We start from the raw sequence: 15,373 nt of genomic DNA, 5'->3' as shown, positions 1-15,373 counted from the left end.
ATTCGAAATGAGATTTTGGTTGAGATACAGAGCCAAACCATATCAGTGCTCAATAATTGTTTTTAAATTATGAAGTGGGTGTTCTGTGTATTTTGTGAGGTGCCTTAAACACATGAGCATAGAACAGAGAATTTGAAAACAGAAATTGAGTTTTCTCCATTACTAAATACTAAGAAAATTGTGTTAGGATTAGAAGGGCAAGGTGGGGAAGAGGGTGAATGCAAGAGTGAAACCTGACCTCAAGTTAGCTCAGCCAGATGCAGTATGGGCTTATTGTCACCCATCATCATCAACAAGTACCCCAAGTGTTCCTTGAGGGGTATATGTTACCCACAAAATAGAAACATGGAAACACCACTCCAAAAACGCACAAATGTCTTTACAGTGCTAGAAACAAATTCAGTGGAATGCAGTCCACCACAAGGGAAGTCTGTAACACTCAGTTCATTCTCCTTTCCAGATTAATCAAGGAGTCTTGCAACCAGTAACAGCTTCCTTAAAAGAGTGCAAGATTCCACATTTTACTTACTTCCATCCATGAAGTCATTCTTCCAAGTTTGGCACCAGGGGCAGGGGTGGAAGGGGATTTATTCTAAACTTTCCTAATGAAAGAGAAGAGAGATAAATTTTGCATTAACATTAAAGACAAAATAAACATTAAAGACTATAAGGGTAAATTGTTATGTAGCAATCCAATATTATGAGTCATATTTAAGTTTCTTTGCTATTTCAACTGAATCATTTTATTTATTTATATATATATATACATACACACACACACATATTCCTTAACTTAACTACCTTGTCTAAGCAATTGATAGACACAAGGACTTCAGTAGAAGTTGCTATACCTTTTGCCTCATCTACAAAGAAATGATTCATTTATATAATTTTTGTTCTTTAATGGAGACCAATACATTATCAAGCCACTCCTATTAGGACAGAATGTTTTTAATATGAAGACTAGCTAATGACACAGCAGGAAACAACAAAAGACAAGTTCTTTTTTTTGCTCTGTTTCCATTTATATTTCTCACGCTAATGTTTAAATCCACCAAATTACCTTTATTACAGGCTTTTTTGAATCTGATAAACTGTATTCTCCTGTGTTACACCAGAGCTTGCAAACCAAGGCTATCAATTATTTCCAAGAGATAATAATATTGCTGATAATAATAGACTTTAATTTGACAAATAATTAGCTTTACATCCAGAAATGGGTAATATAGCACTACATTAAAAGGAAAATATTCTTCTGTGGATATTAGCGGTATTTCTTTAGTCACATGCAACAACACGCATATCATTAATTTTATTATTCCTTCAAGAGAGAGTGTCTCAATTATTAAAAAAACCTTTAAGCTAAGAATTTGCCTACCTAACTGATAATTTTAAACTGAAACTATTTTCCCACAGGTTAAGGTAAGAAGTCCTAAAAATCAATCTTCTTTATAACCTTTGGTACCCTTTATGACCTTGATCCTGCCTATCTTTTTAGTCTTGTATCTTTCATTTCTTCTCCTTGTGTTTCCTGCATTGCCATTTTAGGTTCCTCAGACAAGTAATTGTTCCCTTCCATTGTGAAGATTGTGCACACACTCCTCCCTCTACCTGAAGCACTTGCTTCCGCCACAAATCCTTCCCCTATCCTGCAAAACATTAGCTCTGGCTTTATGCCCTTACATAACTTTATATGTCTACATAGTATAAATATCTATTTGTATAGTTATTTTATTGTCTATCTTTCTCATAACTCTGACAGTTCTATGGGAAAATGAGTCTCGTCTGTTTATCTTATTATTGTAGACCCAGCATCTAACATGGTGCTTGATACACATAACAGAAGATCAATAAATACTTGTTGAATAAATATATGGCTTCATTTTCTATAAAAGTGATCGACAGTCTGGCATTTTCCCAGATTGGGAGCTGATCAACACTATGCTAGATATATTAGCCTTAGCAAAAAAAAAAAAAAAAAAAAAAAAGGAACAGGCTACAAATTGATATTTATTAAGTCTATGAAGTAATTTATCATATGCTTACTGCTTTCACTCCCCTGATAAGTTTATCTTTTGTGTAATGATGTAAATTTGGGAGGGGGACCATGGGGTCAGAATTCTATGCATCCTATTTCAAGTGGTGTACTAATATAATTAGCTATTCTGCAGGCCATTAACTTCTGTAATGATGTCTACAATAAAGCAGAATATGAAGTTGAAATGGGAAGAAAAGAATCAGTTTACATACTCACTGATACTCTGAATACTATTTTGACTCCGAGGAACTCTTAGTGCAAAATTTAACAGAGAATCTCCAGAAGACAGTCTGCCCTCAGCAACTATCCATCCAACCCTGTGGCTCCTGAAGTCTCTTTGACAAGTAGTAAAAGTTGTCAATCTGTGATCTACCATTTTTGGTAGACCTGCCTCCTCATGCAAGAGCAGGAAGCATAAAAAGCTTTCATTAAGCTCATATCATCCAAAAACACATACAAACTTTTTCCCATTGTCTTAAAATAGCTGTCAAACTCCTCTGCAGTTCTTTTCTTCTACCACAAAATGAAATTATAGCTACTAACCTTAAAGGAATGTTTCTAATGTACAATGAATCAAAAGAGCTGAGAAACCATGTACATGTGTTATTACAGAAATGTCTAAAATGATTAAGAAGGAATTTGTTTCAGCTTCACAAATCTTCACAGCTTTCCAACATCAAGGAAAAGTTAGGAAAAAATAAAATACTTCATGACATTTCTCAGAAAATAAAATAGAACATAAATTTAAAAGAAATAAAAGAGTGTTGCCAAGAAAAATGTAGAGCAAAAGATTTAAAATAGAACTCCTGAAACTTAAAAACAAATCTTTTGTATGCCTTGGTAACAGTAATGATGATATTCAAAAATGACTAATTATAGAGCCAGTACTCAAATAATGTGAGTACCAAACAAAGCATTCAGGGGTAATGTCACGTATTAATGGAGGCACAACTTAATCTGGGATAGAATGTTTCTTTTTAAGAGTAAAGTTCTATAGGAATATCAATTTCATGTCTCATCAAGACAATTGTCCTCTCCTCTTTTTATTCTTAGCTTTATTTATTGTAAACAATGCCAAAATGAAGCAGCACACTAGTAAATGTTGTTTTCATTTTTTTGTTGTTGAATTTGTTGTCTTCTCCTGGCTAATACATAATTTAGTTCAAATCTTCACACAAACTTAATTTGTAGGGATGTATGCTTTTTCAAATACACAGTTTTGGTTCTCTCTTTGTCTGAATTGAATACTTTGGCAACATCCTTGGGAAATTTAGTCTTTGGTTTGAGATGCTGACCTACAGTACAAATCAGGCCAGTAAACCATTGGCTACTGGTTTGTATTCACCTAAGGAAGCAGAATCATCATCAATCACAAAGAATTCTTCATTTTCTTGAAACAAGTTATGCAAGCAAGAATATTCCTGTTTTGCATGTGACAAGATTCACACTGAACTCAGCATTCCTAAACCTAGGATATAGACTGTTGGTCAGCTTCCTACTTTGCACTTAAATTCAACTTTCTCCCACCTGATCATAATCAAGCTCTCCCTAAACACAGAGATAGATCTTGATTCCCAGGCTAAGAGCCAGCCTTTCTTCTTGGCCAAGTCTTTTTCTCTTTGGTGAGAGGTTCTTGAACTCTAAACCCATCTGCTTAGAGTTCTTGGGAAGAGAGGAAAAAGAATAAGGAAGACCTTCAGCCTGAAAGGTAATACCACAAGAAGGTAACTCAAATCCATAAGAAAAAATAAAGAACACTGAAATGGCAATTATGCAGGTTAATATAAAACTCTAAAAGCATTTTTTTACATTTCTTCCCTTAATTTATTTAAAAGACATAAGACTGTATAAAGCAATAATTATACAATCTATTATTAAGTTGATAACATATATAAAAATATGTAACAATAATAGCACAAAGGAGTGGGAGAGAATAGAGCTATATTGAAGCAAAATTTCTGTATTTTACAAATATTAAGCTAGTATTATTCTAGAGGAAATTGTCATCAATTAAAATGCATTTTATAATTTCCTAGATTGACCATTGAGAGAATAACTCAAAAACTAGTTTTAAAAATCAAAAGAGCAATTAAAGTAGCATACTAAAAGTATTGTCTTAACAGAAAAGAAGCAATAAAGGAATAGAGAAATAAACAAATAGAAAATTCAACAGTGAAAGTTGGAGGACTCAATACCAAAGATTCAATAATTGATAGAACCACTATATTAAAAAAAATCAGTAAAGATATACAAGACTTGAACAATACTATCAACCAACTCAAACTAATTTAGGTAGAATGGTCCACTCATTGAATGCAGAATGCATGCTCTTTTTAAGTGCACGTGGAATATTTTTCAGGATGAGATCATATGGTAAGCCATAAAACAAATCTCAACACACTTAAAAATATTGAATTCATACAGTGTATTTTCAACCAAAATGGAATTTAGAAATAAACAACTAAAAGGAATATGGGAAATCCTTAAGTACTTGGAAATTAAACAATACACTTCTAAATTCTAAAAATGAAACTAAAAGTTTTTGAAAAGATCAACAAAATTGGCAAATCTTTAACCAGACTAACCAATAAAAAGAGAGTGAGACAGACAAAGACAAAGGAGGCACAAGTTGCCAAATTCAAGTCACAGAAGAAACCACAGGGTAAATTAGGAAAGGCTTTGCATGAATGAAAACAAACAGAAAAACCCCACAATATATCAAAATTTATGATGTACAGCTAAGCAGTGTTTAGAAAGACATTTACAGCTTTAAAGGCATATATTGGAAAAGAAGAAAGGTCTCAAATCAATAACCTATGCTTCTACCTTAAGAGCATAGTAAAAGAAGAGCAAACTAACCCCAAAGCAAACAGAGGATAGAAATAAAGGTTAGAGCACAAATCAATGAACTACAAAACAAAAACAAAAGGAAAATAAGGCAATAAAACTAAAAGTTGTTTCTTTCAAAATATCAACAAAATTGGCAAATATTTAACTGAACTAACCAAAGGAAAACATGAAAACATAATTTATCAAATTCAGGAATGAAAGTGGAAATATTACAACCAATGCTACAGAAATGAAAACATTATAAGGGAATTTATAAACAACTATGCCAAAAAATAAGACAAATGAGATGAAATGGACAATTTCTAGAAACAAGATTTGAATAGACCTCACACACACACACACACACACACACACACACACACACAAACGATCACTATGCATATAAAAACATGTTTAGCATCATTAGCCATTAGGAAAACACAAATTAAAACTACGATAAGATACCATTATGTACTCACTAGAATGACTATAATCAAAAAGAAAGGTGTTTCAAAGTGTAGGAAAAGATGTGAAGGACCCAGGGTCTTCATTTACTGCTGGTGGGAAGGTAAATAATACAGCCATTTTGCAAAATATAGTTTCTCATGAAATTAAATATACACTTAACATTTGGCCCAGCAATTTTATTTCTTGGAATCCACCCAAAAGAAACAAAAATACATGTCCACACAAAGATTTGTAAGTGAATGTTTATAGCAGTATCATCCATGATAGCCCAAAATTGCAAAGCATCCAAATCTGCATTAAATGGCAAATAAATGAACAAAATGTGATATATGCATACAATGGAGCACTATCGAACAAAAAAAAGAAATGAAGTCTTGATACATACTATGGCATTTTCAACCTTAAAAGTGTCATACTAATTAAAAGAGACCTTATTCAAAACACTACATATTGTATGATTCTACATATACAAAATATCCAGAAACAGTAAATTTATATACAGAGAAAGCAGGCCAGTGGTTTCCTAGAGCTGGGTGTGAGATAGGGGATTATCTTCAAATGGGAAGGAGATAACATTTTGGCGTTCTGTAAATGTTCTAAAACTAGATTGTGGTGATTGCTGCACAAATGTAAATTTTACTTTAAAAAAATCACTGAATTGTATACTTATAATGGGTGAATTTTATGGTATCTAAATTATACCCCAGTAAAGCTGGGATTTTTTAACGGTTAATAATTATATGAAAGGAAAATACGAATGGCTCTGTTTGGATGAAAATGCTTGATATCTAATAAAAATAGAAATTCAAATTAAAAGTATAATGAGATACAGTTTTTACAACTCAGGTTTGCTAAGATTAAAAAGTTTGTAACACACCTAATTGATAATAATATGGGCATCCTTATTAATGTCTGGGAGGAATATATGTTGGCATTTTCTCAATGAGAAGCAGTTTTGCTTTATCTATTGAAAATTAAGATTGCATGTTTCTTGATTCGGTAATTACTTTCCTACTCCCACTGACACTAAGTGATAAATTTAAATCATTTTTGCTATAAGCAAAATATTGCAAACAATCTAAAAGTTCATCAATAAAAGACTAAGATAGATTATGATATAACCAATGAATGAAATCTGATGCAGATGTAAAAATATACAGCTCCAAAACTGTCTCTATTTGCAGAGGATATGATCTTACACATAGAAAACCCTAAATATTACCTGCATACACACAACCTGTTAGAACTAATAAATGACTTCCGTAAAGTAGCAGGATATAAAGCCAATACAAATAAAATCAGTTGCATTTCTGTACTCTTAACAATAAACAATCAGAAAAAAATTACAAAAATTTTTATTTACAATAGCATCAAAAAATACTAAGGAATAAAAACTACGATACAAAGAAGGTAAAAGACTTGTACAATGAAAACAACAAAACATTGCTGAAAGAAATTTTAAAAGACATAGATGAATGGAAATACATATCATGTTCATGAATTGGAAGAATTAACATTGTTAAAATGTCATAATAACCAAAGTGATCTACAGAATCAATGCAATGGCTATCAAAATCCCAGTGACATTTTTGCAAAGATAGAAAAACTCATCCTAAAATTCACATGGCATCTCAAGCAACCCCAAATATCAAAAATGATCTTGTAAAAGAAGAGGGATGTTAATAATGAGGGAGACTACACATGTGTGGGGCAAGGGGTACATGGGAAATGTCTTGTATCTTCCCCTCAATTTTGTTGTGTAACTAAAACTGATCTAAAAAGTAAAGTTAATTTTAAAAAATAACAAACTACTATGCTGAAGTACTCACATTTCTTGATTTCAGAATTTACTATAAATCTATTACAAAGTAAGGTCCATTCCAAGATATCCAAATAGGAATAGCTCCAGTTTGCAGCTCCCAGCGTGACTGATGCAGAAGATGGGTGATTTCTGCATTTCCAACTGAGGAACCTAGTTCATCTCATTGGGACTGGTTGGACAGTGGGTGCAGCCCATAGAGGGTGAGACGAAGCAGAGCGGGGTGTCACCTCACCCAGGAAGTGCCTTTCCTAGCCAAGGGAAACCATGACAGACTGTACCTGGAAAAATGGGACACTGTCGCCCAAATACTGAGCTGTTCCCAAGGTCTTAGCAACCGGCAGACAAGAAGATTCTCTCCTGTGCCTGGCTCAGTGGGTCCCATGCCCAGGGAGCCTTGCTCACTGCTAGCGCAGCAGTCTGAGATCGAACTGTGAGGCAGCAGCCTGGCTAGGGGAGGGCGTCTGCCATTGCTGAGGCTTGAGTCAGTAAACAAAGCAGCCGGGAAGCTCGAACTGGGCAGAACCCACCACAGCTCAGCGAGGCCTACTGCCTCTATAGACTCCACTTCTGTGAGCAGGGCATAGCTAAACAAAAGGCAGTAGACAACTTCTGCACACCTAAATGTCCCTGTCTGACAGCTCTGAAGAGAGCACTGGTTCTCCCACCACAGTGTCTGAGCTCGGGGAATGGACAGACTGCCTCTCCAAGTGGCTTCCTGACCCCCGTGTAGCCTAACTGGCAGACACCTCCCAGTAGGGGCTGACAGACACCTCACATAGGCAGGTGCCCCTCTGGGATGAAGTTTCCAGAGGAAGGTTCAGGCAGCAATATTTGCTGTTCTGCAGCCTCCACTGGTGATACCCAGGCAAACCGGGTCTGGAGTGGACCTCCAGCAAAACCCAACAGAACTGCAGCTGAGGGACCTGACTGTTAGAAGGAAAACTATCAAACAGAAAGGAATAGCATCAACATCAACAAAAAGGATATCTATACCAAAGCTCCATCTGTAGGTCACCAACATCAAAGACCAAAGGTAGATAAAACCACAAAGACGGGGAGAAACCAGAGCAGAAAAGCTGAAAATTCTAAAAACCAGAGCACCTCTTCTCCTCCAAAGGACTGCAACTCCTCACGAGCAACAGAACAAAGCTGGACGGAGAATGACTTTGACGAGTTGACAGAAGTAGGCTTCAGAATGTCAGTAATAACAAACTGCTCCAAGCTAAAGGAGCGTGTTCAAACCCATCACAAGGAAGCTAAAAGCCTTGAAAAAAGGTTAGACGAATGGCTAACTAGAATAAATAGTGTAGAGAAGACCTTAAATGACCTGATGGAGCTGAAAACCATGACATGAGAACTTTGTGGTGCATGCACAAACTTCAATAGCTGATTCGATCAAGTGGAAGAAAGGGTATCAGTGATTGAAGATCACATGAATGAAATTAAGCGAGAACACTAGGTTAGAGAAAAGAAGAGTAAAAAGAAACAAACAAAGCCTCCAAGAAATATGGGACTATGTGAAAAGACCAAATCTACACTTGATTGGTGTACCTGAAAGTGATGGAGAAAATGAAACTAAGTTGGAAAACACTCTTCAGGATATTATCCAGGAGAACTTCCCCAACGAGCAAGGCAGGCCAACATTCAAATTCAGGAAATACAGAGAACACCATAAAGATACTCCTCGAGAAGAGAAACCCCAGCACACATAATTGTCAGATTCACCAAGGTTGAAATGAAGGAAAAAATGTTAAGGGCAGCCAGAGAGAAAGGTCGGGTTACCCACAAAGGGAAGCCCATCAGACTAAAAGTGGATCTCTCAGCAGAAACCCTACAAGCCAGAAGAGAGTGGGGGCCAATATTCAACATACTTAAAGAAAAGAATTTTCAACCCAGAATTTCAAATCCAGCCAAACTAAGCTTCATAAGTGAAGGAGAAATAAAATCCTTTACAGACAAGCAAATGCTGAGAGATTTTTTTCATCACCAGGCCTGCCTTACAAGAGTTCCTGAAGGAAGCACTAAATATGGAAAGAAACAACCAGTACCAGCCACTGAAAAAACATACCAAATTGTAAAGACTATTGATGCTAGGAAGAAACTGCATCAATTAACAGGCAAAATAACCAGCTAACATCATAATGACAGTATCAAATACACACATAAAAATAATAACCTTAAATTTAAATGGGCTAAATGCCCCAATTAAAAGACACAGACTGAAAATTGCATGAAGAGTCAAGACCTATCAGTGTGCTGTATTCAGGAGACCCATCTCACATGCAGAGACACACACACACTCAAAATAAAAGGATGGAGGAAGATCTACCAAGCTAATGGAAAGCAAAAAAAAGCAGGGTTTGCAATCCTAGTCTCTGATAAAACCAACAAAGATCAAAAGAGACAAAGAAGGCCATTACATAATGGTAAAGGGATCAACTCAACAAGAAGAGCTAACGATCCTAAATATATATGCACCCATTACAGGAGCACCCAGATTCATAAAGCAAGTCCTTAGAGACCTACAAAGAGACTTACACTCCCACACAATAAGAATGGGAGGTGGTAACACCCCACTGTTGATATTAGACAGATCAATGAGACAGAAGGTTAACAAGGATATCCAGGACTTGAACTCAGCTCTGCACCAAGCAAACCTAATAGACATCTACAGAACTCTCCACCCTAAATCAACAGAATGTACATTCTTCTCAGCACCACATCGCACTTATTCTAAAATTGACTATGTAATTGGAAGTAAAGCCCTCCTCAGCAAATGTAAAAGAAATCACAACAAACTGGTTCTCATACCACAGTGCAATCAAACTAGAACTCAGGATTAAGAAACTCACCCAAAACTGCTCAACTACATGGAAACTGAGCAACCTGCTCCTGAATGACTACTGGGTAAATAACGAAATAAAGGCAGAAATAAAGATGTGCTTTGAAACTAATCAGAACAAAGACACAACATACCAGAATCTCTGGGACACATTTAAAGCAGGGTGTAGAGGGAAATTTATAGCACTAAATGCCCACTGGGACACATTTAAAGCAGGGTGTAGAGGGAAATTTATAGCACTAAATGCCCACAAGAGAAAGCAGGAATAAGCTAAAATTGACACCCTAACATCACAATTAAAAGAACTAGAGAAGCAAGAGCAAACACATTCAAAAGCTAGCAGAAGGCAAGAAATAACTAATACCAGAGCAGAACTGAAGGAGACAGAAACACAAAAACCCTTCAAAAAATCAATGAATCCAGGAGCTGGTTTTTGAAAGGATCAACAAAATTGATAGACCGCTAGCAAGACTAATAAAGAAGAAAAGTGAGAAGAACCAAATAGACACAATAAAAAATGATAAAGGGGATATTACCACTGATCCCACAGAAATACAAACTACCATCAGAGAATACTAGAAACACCTCTACGCAAATAAACCAGAAAAACTATTAGAAATGGATAAATTCCTGGACACATACACCCTCTGAAGACTAAGCCAGGAAGAAGCTGAATCCCTGAATAGACCAATAACAGGCTCTGAAATTGAGGCAATCATTAATAACCTACCAACCAGGACCAGACGGATTCACAGCCAAATTCTACCAGAGGTACAAGGAGGAGCTGGTACCATTCCTTCTGACACTATTCCAATCAATAGAAAAAGAGGGAATCCTCCCTAACTCATTTTATGAAGCCAGCATGATCCTGATATCAAAGCCTGACAGAGACACAACAGAAAAAGAGAATTTTCGACCAACATCCTTGATGAACATTGATCCAAAAATCCTCGATAAAATACTGGCAAACCGAATCCAGCAGCTCATCAAAAAGCTTATCCACCATGATCAAGTGGGCTTCATCCCTGGGATGCAAGGCTGGTTCAACATACGCAAATCAATAAACGTAATCCATCACATAAACAGAACCAAAGACAAAAATCACATAATTATCTCAATAGATGCAGAAAAGACCTTTGACAAAATTCAACAGCCCTTCATGCTAAAAACTCTCAATAAACTAGGTATTGATGGGACGTATCTCAAAATAATAAGAGCTATTTATGACAAACCCACAGCCAATATCATACTAAATGGGCAAAAACTGGAAGCATTCCCTTTGAAAACTGGCACAAGACAGGGATGCCCTCTCTCACCACTCCTATTCAACATAGTGTTGGAAGTTCTGGCCACGGCAATCAGGCAGGAGAAAGAAATAAAGGGTATTCAATTAGAAAAAGAGGAAATCAAATTGTCCCTGTTTGCAGATGACATGATTGTATATTTTAAAAACCCCATCATCTCAGCCCAAAATCCCCTTAAGCTGATAAGCAAATTCAGCAAGATCTCAGTATACAAAATCAATGTGCAAAAATCACAAGCATTCCTATACACCAATAATAGACAGAGAGCCAAATCATGAGTGAACTCCCATGCATGACTGCTGCAAAGAGAATAAAATACCTAGGAATCCGACTTACAAGGGATGTGAAGGACCTCTTCAAGGAGAACTACAAACCACTGCTCAACGAAATAAAAGAGGACACAAAGAAATGGAAGAACATTCCATGCTCATGGATACGAAGAATCAATATTGTGAAAATGGCCATACTGCCCAAGGTAATTTAGAGATTCAATGCCATCCCCATCAAGCTACCAATGACTTTCTTCACACAATTGGAAAAAACTACTTTCAAGTTCATATGGAACCAAAAAAGGGCCCACATTGCCAAGACAATCCTAAGCCAAAAGAACAAAGCTGGAGGCATCACGCTACCTGACTTCAAACTATACAACAAGTCTATAGTAACCAAAACAGCATGGTACTGGTACCAAAACAGAGATATAGACCAATGCAACAGAACAGAGCCCTCAGAAATAATATCACACATCTACAACCATCTGATCTTCGACAAACCTGACAAAAACAAGAAATGGGGAAAGGATTCCCTATTTAATAAATGGTGCTGAGAAAACTGGCTAGCCATATGTAGAAAGCTAAAACTGGATCCCTTCCTTACACCTTATACAAAAATTAATTCAAGATGGATTAAAGACTTAAAGGTTAGACCTAAAACCATAAAAACCCTAGAAGAAAACTTAGGCAATACCATTCAGGACATAGGCATGGGCGAGGACTTCATGTCTAAAACACCAAAAGCAATGGCAACAAAAGCCAAACTTGACAAATGGGATCTAATTAAACTAAAGAGCTTCTGCACAGCAAAAGAAACTACCATCAGAGTGAACAGGCAACCTACAGAATGAGAGAAAATTTTTGCAATCTACTCATCTGACAAAGGGCTAATAATCCAGAATCTACAAAGAACTGAAATTTACAAGAAAAAATGAAACAACCCCATCACAAAGTGGGCAAAGGATATGAACAGACACATCTCAAAAGAAGACATTTATGCAGCCTACATACACACGAAAGAGATACTCATCATCACTGGTCATCAGAGAAACGTAAATCAAAACCACAATGAGATGCCATCTCATGCCAGTTAGAATGGAGATCATTAAAAAGTCAGGAAACAACAGATGCTGGAGAGGATGTGGTGAAATTGGAACACTTTTACACTGTTCATGGGAGTGTAAATTAGTTCAACCATTGTAGAAGACAGTGTGGCAATTCCTCAAGGATCTAGAACTAGAAATACCATTTAACCCAGCAATCCCATTACTGGGTACATACCCAAAGGATTATAAGTCATGCTACTATAAAGACACATGCACACGTATGTTTATTGCGGCACTATTCACAATAGCAAAGACTTGGAACCAACCCAAATGTCCATCAATAATAGACTGGATTAAGCAAATGTGGCACATATACACCATGGATTACAATGCAGCCCTTAAAAAGATGAATTCATGTCCTTTGCAGGGACATAGATGAAGCTGGAAACCATCATTCTCAGCAAACTATCACAAGGACAGAAAACCAAACACCACATGTTCTCACTCATAGGTGGGAACTGAACAATGAGAACACTTGGACACAGGGCAGGGAACATCACACACTGGAGCCTGTCAAGGGGTAGGGGTCTGAGGGAGGAATAGCATTAGGAGAAATACCTATTGTAAATGACAAGTTGATGGGTGCAGCAAACCAACATGGCACATGTATACCTATGTATCAAACCTGCACACTGTGCACATGTACCCTAGAACTTAAAGTATAATAAAAAAAAATCTATTACAAAACTAAAGTAATCATAACAATTTGGTACTGGCATGAAGACAGACATACAGTTCAATGGAATAAAGCAGCACAGAAATAAACCCTTCTCATAGGTGGTCAAAAGATTTTTTTCCCAACTTTTATTTAGATATAAGCATACATGTGCAGGTTTGTTACATGGGTATACTGCGTGATGCTGAGGTTTGGGGTATGAATGATCCCATCACCCAGATAGTACACAGTAGGTAGTTTTTCAAGCCATGTCCACCTCCCACCCTCCCCCTTCTAGTAGTCCACAGTGCCTTTTGTTCCCACGTTTATGTCCATATGTGCTCAATGTGTAGCTCCCACTTATAAGTGACACATGCAGTATTTGGTTTTCTGTACCTGCACAATTTGCTTAGGATCACAGCCTCAATTGCATCCACGTTGCTCCAAAATACATGATTTCATTATTATTTATGGCCAAGTAGTATTTCATAGTGTATATTTACCACATTTTCTTTATCCAATTCTCTATTTATAGACTCTTACATTAATTCTATATCTTTGCTATTGTGTATAGTGCTGCAATAAACATATGAATGCAGGTATCTTTTTCATATAATGATTTCTTTCTTTTTGGGTACATATTCAAGATTGGGATTGCTGAATTGAATGATAGTTCTATTTTCAGTTCTTTCAGAAATCTTCATACGGTTTTCCATTGAGGTTGTACTAATTTACATTCCCATCAACAGTGTATAAGCATTCCCTTTTCTCTGCACCCTCGACTACTTTTGTTGATTTTTGACATTTTACTAATAGCCATTCTAACTAGTGTGAGATGGTTTTTCACTGTGGTTTTGATTTCCATTTTCTCTGATGAGTGCTGCTGGGCATTTTTCATTTTTTTTTGGCCACTTATATGTCTTTTTTTGAGAAATGTCTGTTCATGTCATTTGCCCATTTTTAATGGGGTGTTTTGGATTTTGCTTGTTAAGTTCTTAATAGATTCTGGATATTGGGCCTTTGTTGGATACATAGTTTGCCAATGTTTTTTCCCATTCTGTAGGTCGTCTGTTTACTCTGTTTCTTTTACTGTGCAGTGCAGAAGCTCTTTAGTTTAATTGGGTCAATTTTAGGTCATTTTTTTGTCCATTTTAGGTCAATCTTGTCAATTTTTGTTTTTCTTACAATTATTTTTGGAAACTTGACCAAATTTTTTGTTTTTGCCAATGTCAATGTCGAGAGGGGAATTTCCTAGCTTGTCTTCTAGGACTTTTATATTTTGAGGTCTTAAACTTAAATCTTTGATCAACTTGGACTTAATTTTTGTATAAGGTGAATGCAAGGGGTCCAGTTACAGTCTTCTGCATGTGACTAGCCAGTTATCCCAGCACCATTTATTAAATAGGGAGTCCTTTCCTCATTGTTTGTTGTTGTTGGCATTGCTGACAATCAGATGGTTTCTTTCCGAGTTTTCTATTATGCACCACTGGTTTATGTGTCTGTTTTTGTGCCAGTACCACGCTGGTTTGGCTACTCTAGCTTTATATTATACTTTGAAGCCTGGTAGTGTGATACCCTTCAGCTTTGTCCTCTTTGCTTAGAATTGCTTTGGGTACTCCAGCTCTTTTTCATTCCATGAGAATTTTAAAATATTTTTTCTACTTCTGTGAAAAATAGCATTGGTAGTTTGATAGGAATAGCATTGAATCTGCAGATTGCTTTAGGAAATATGGACATTTTAATTCTTCCAACCCATAAGCATGGAAAGTTTTACCATTTATTTGTGTCATCTCTGATTTATTTCTGCACTGTTTTGTAGCTCTCCTTATAGAGATCTTTCGCCTCCTTGGTTAGCTGTATTTCTAGGTATTTTATTTTATTTGTGACTACTATATATAGAATTGCATTCTTTATTTGACTCTCAGGCTGGACTTTATTGGTGTACAGAAATGCTAGTGATTTCTGTACATTGATTTTGTATTCGGAAACTTTACTAAAGTCATTTATCAGTTCTAAAAGCCTTTTGGCAGACTCTAC

This window comes from Homo sapiens, chromosome 3 (assembly GCF_000001405.40).
Source record: "Homo sapiens chromosome 3, GRCh38.p14 Primary Assembly".
NCBI lineage: Eukaryota > Metazoa > Chordata > Mammalia > Primates > Hominidae > Homo > Homo sapiens.
Note: the sequence above shows the minus strand (reverse complement) of the source record.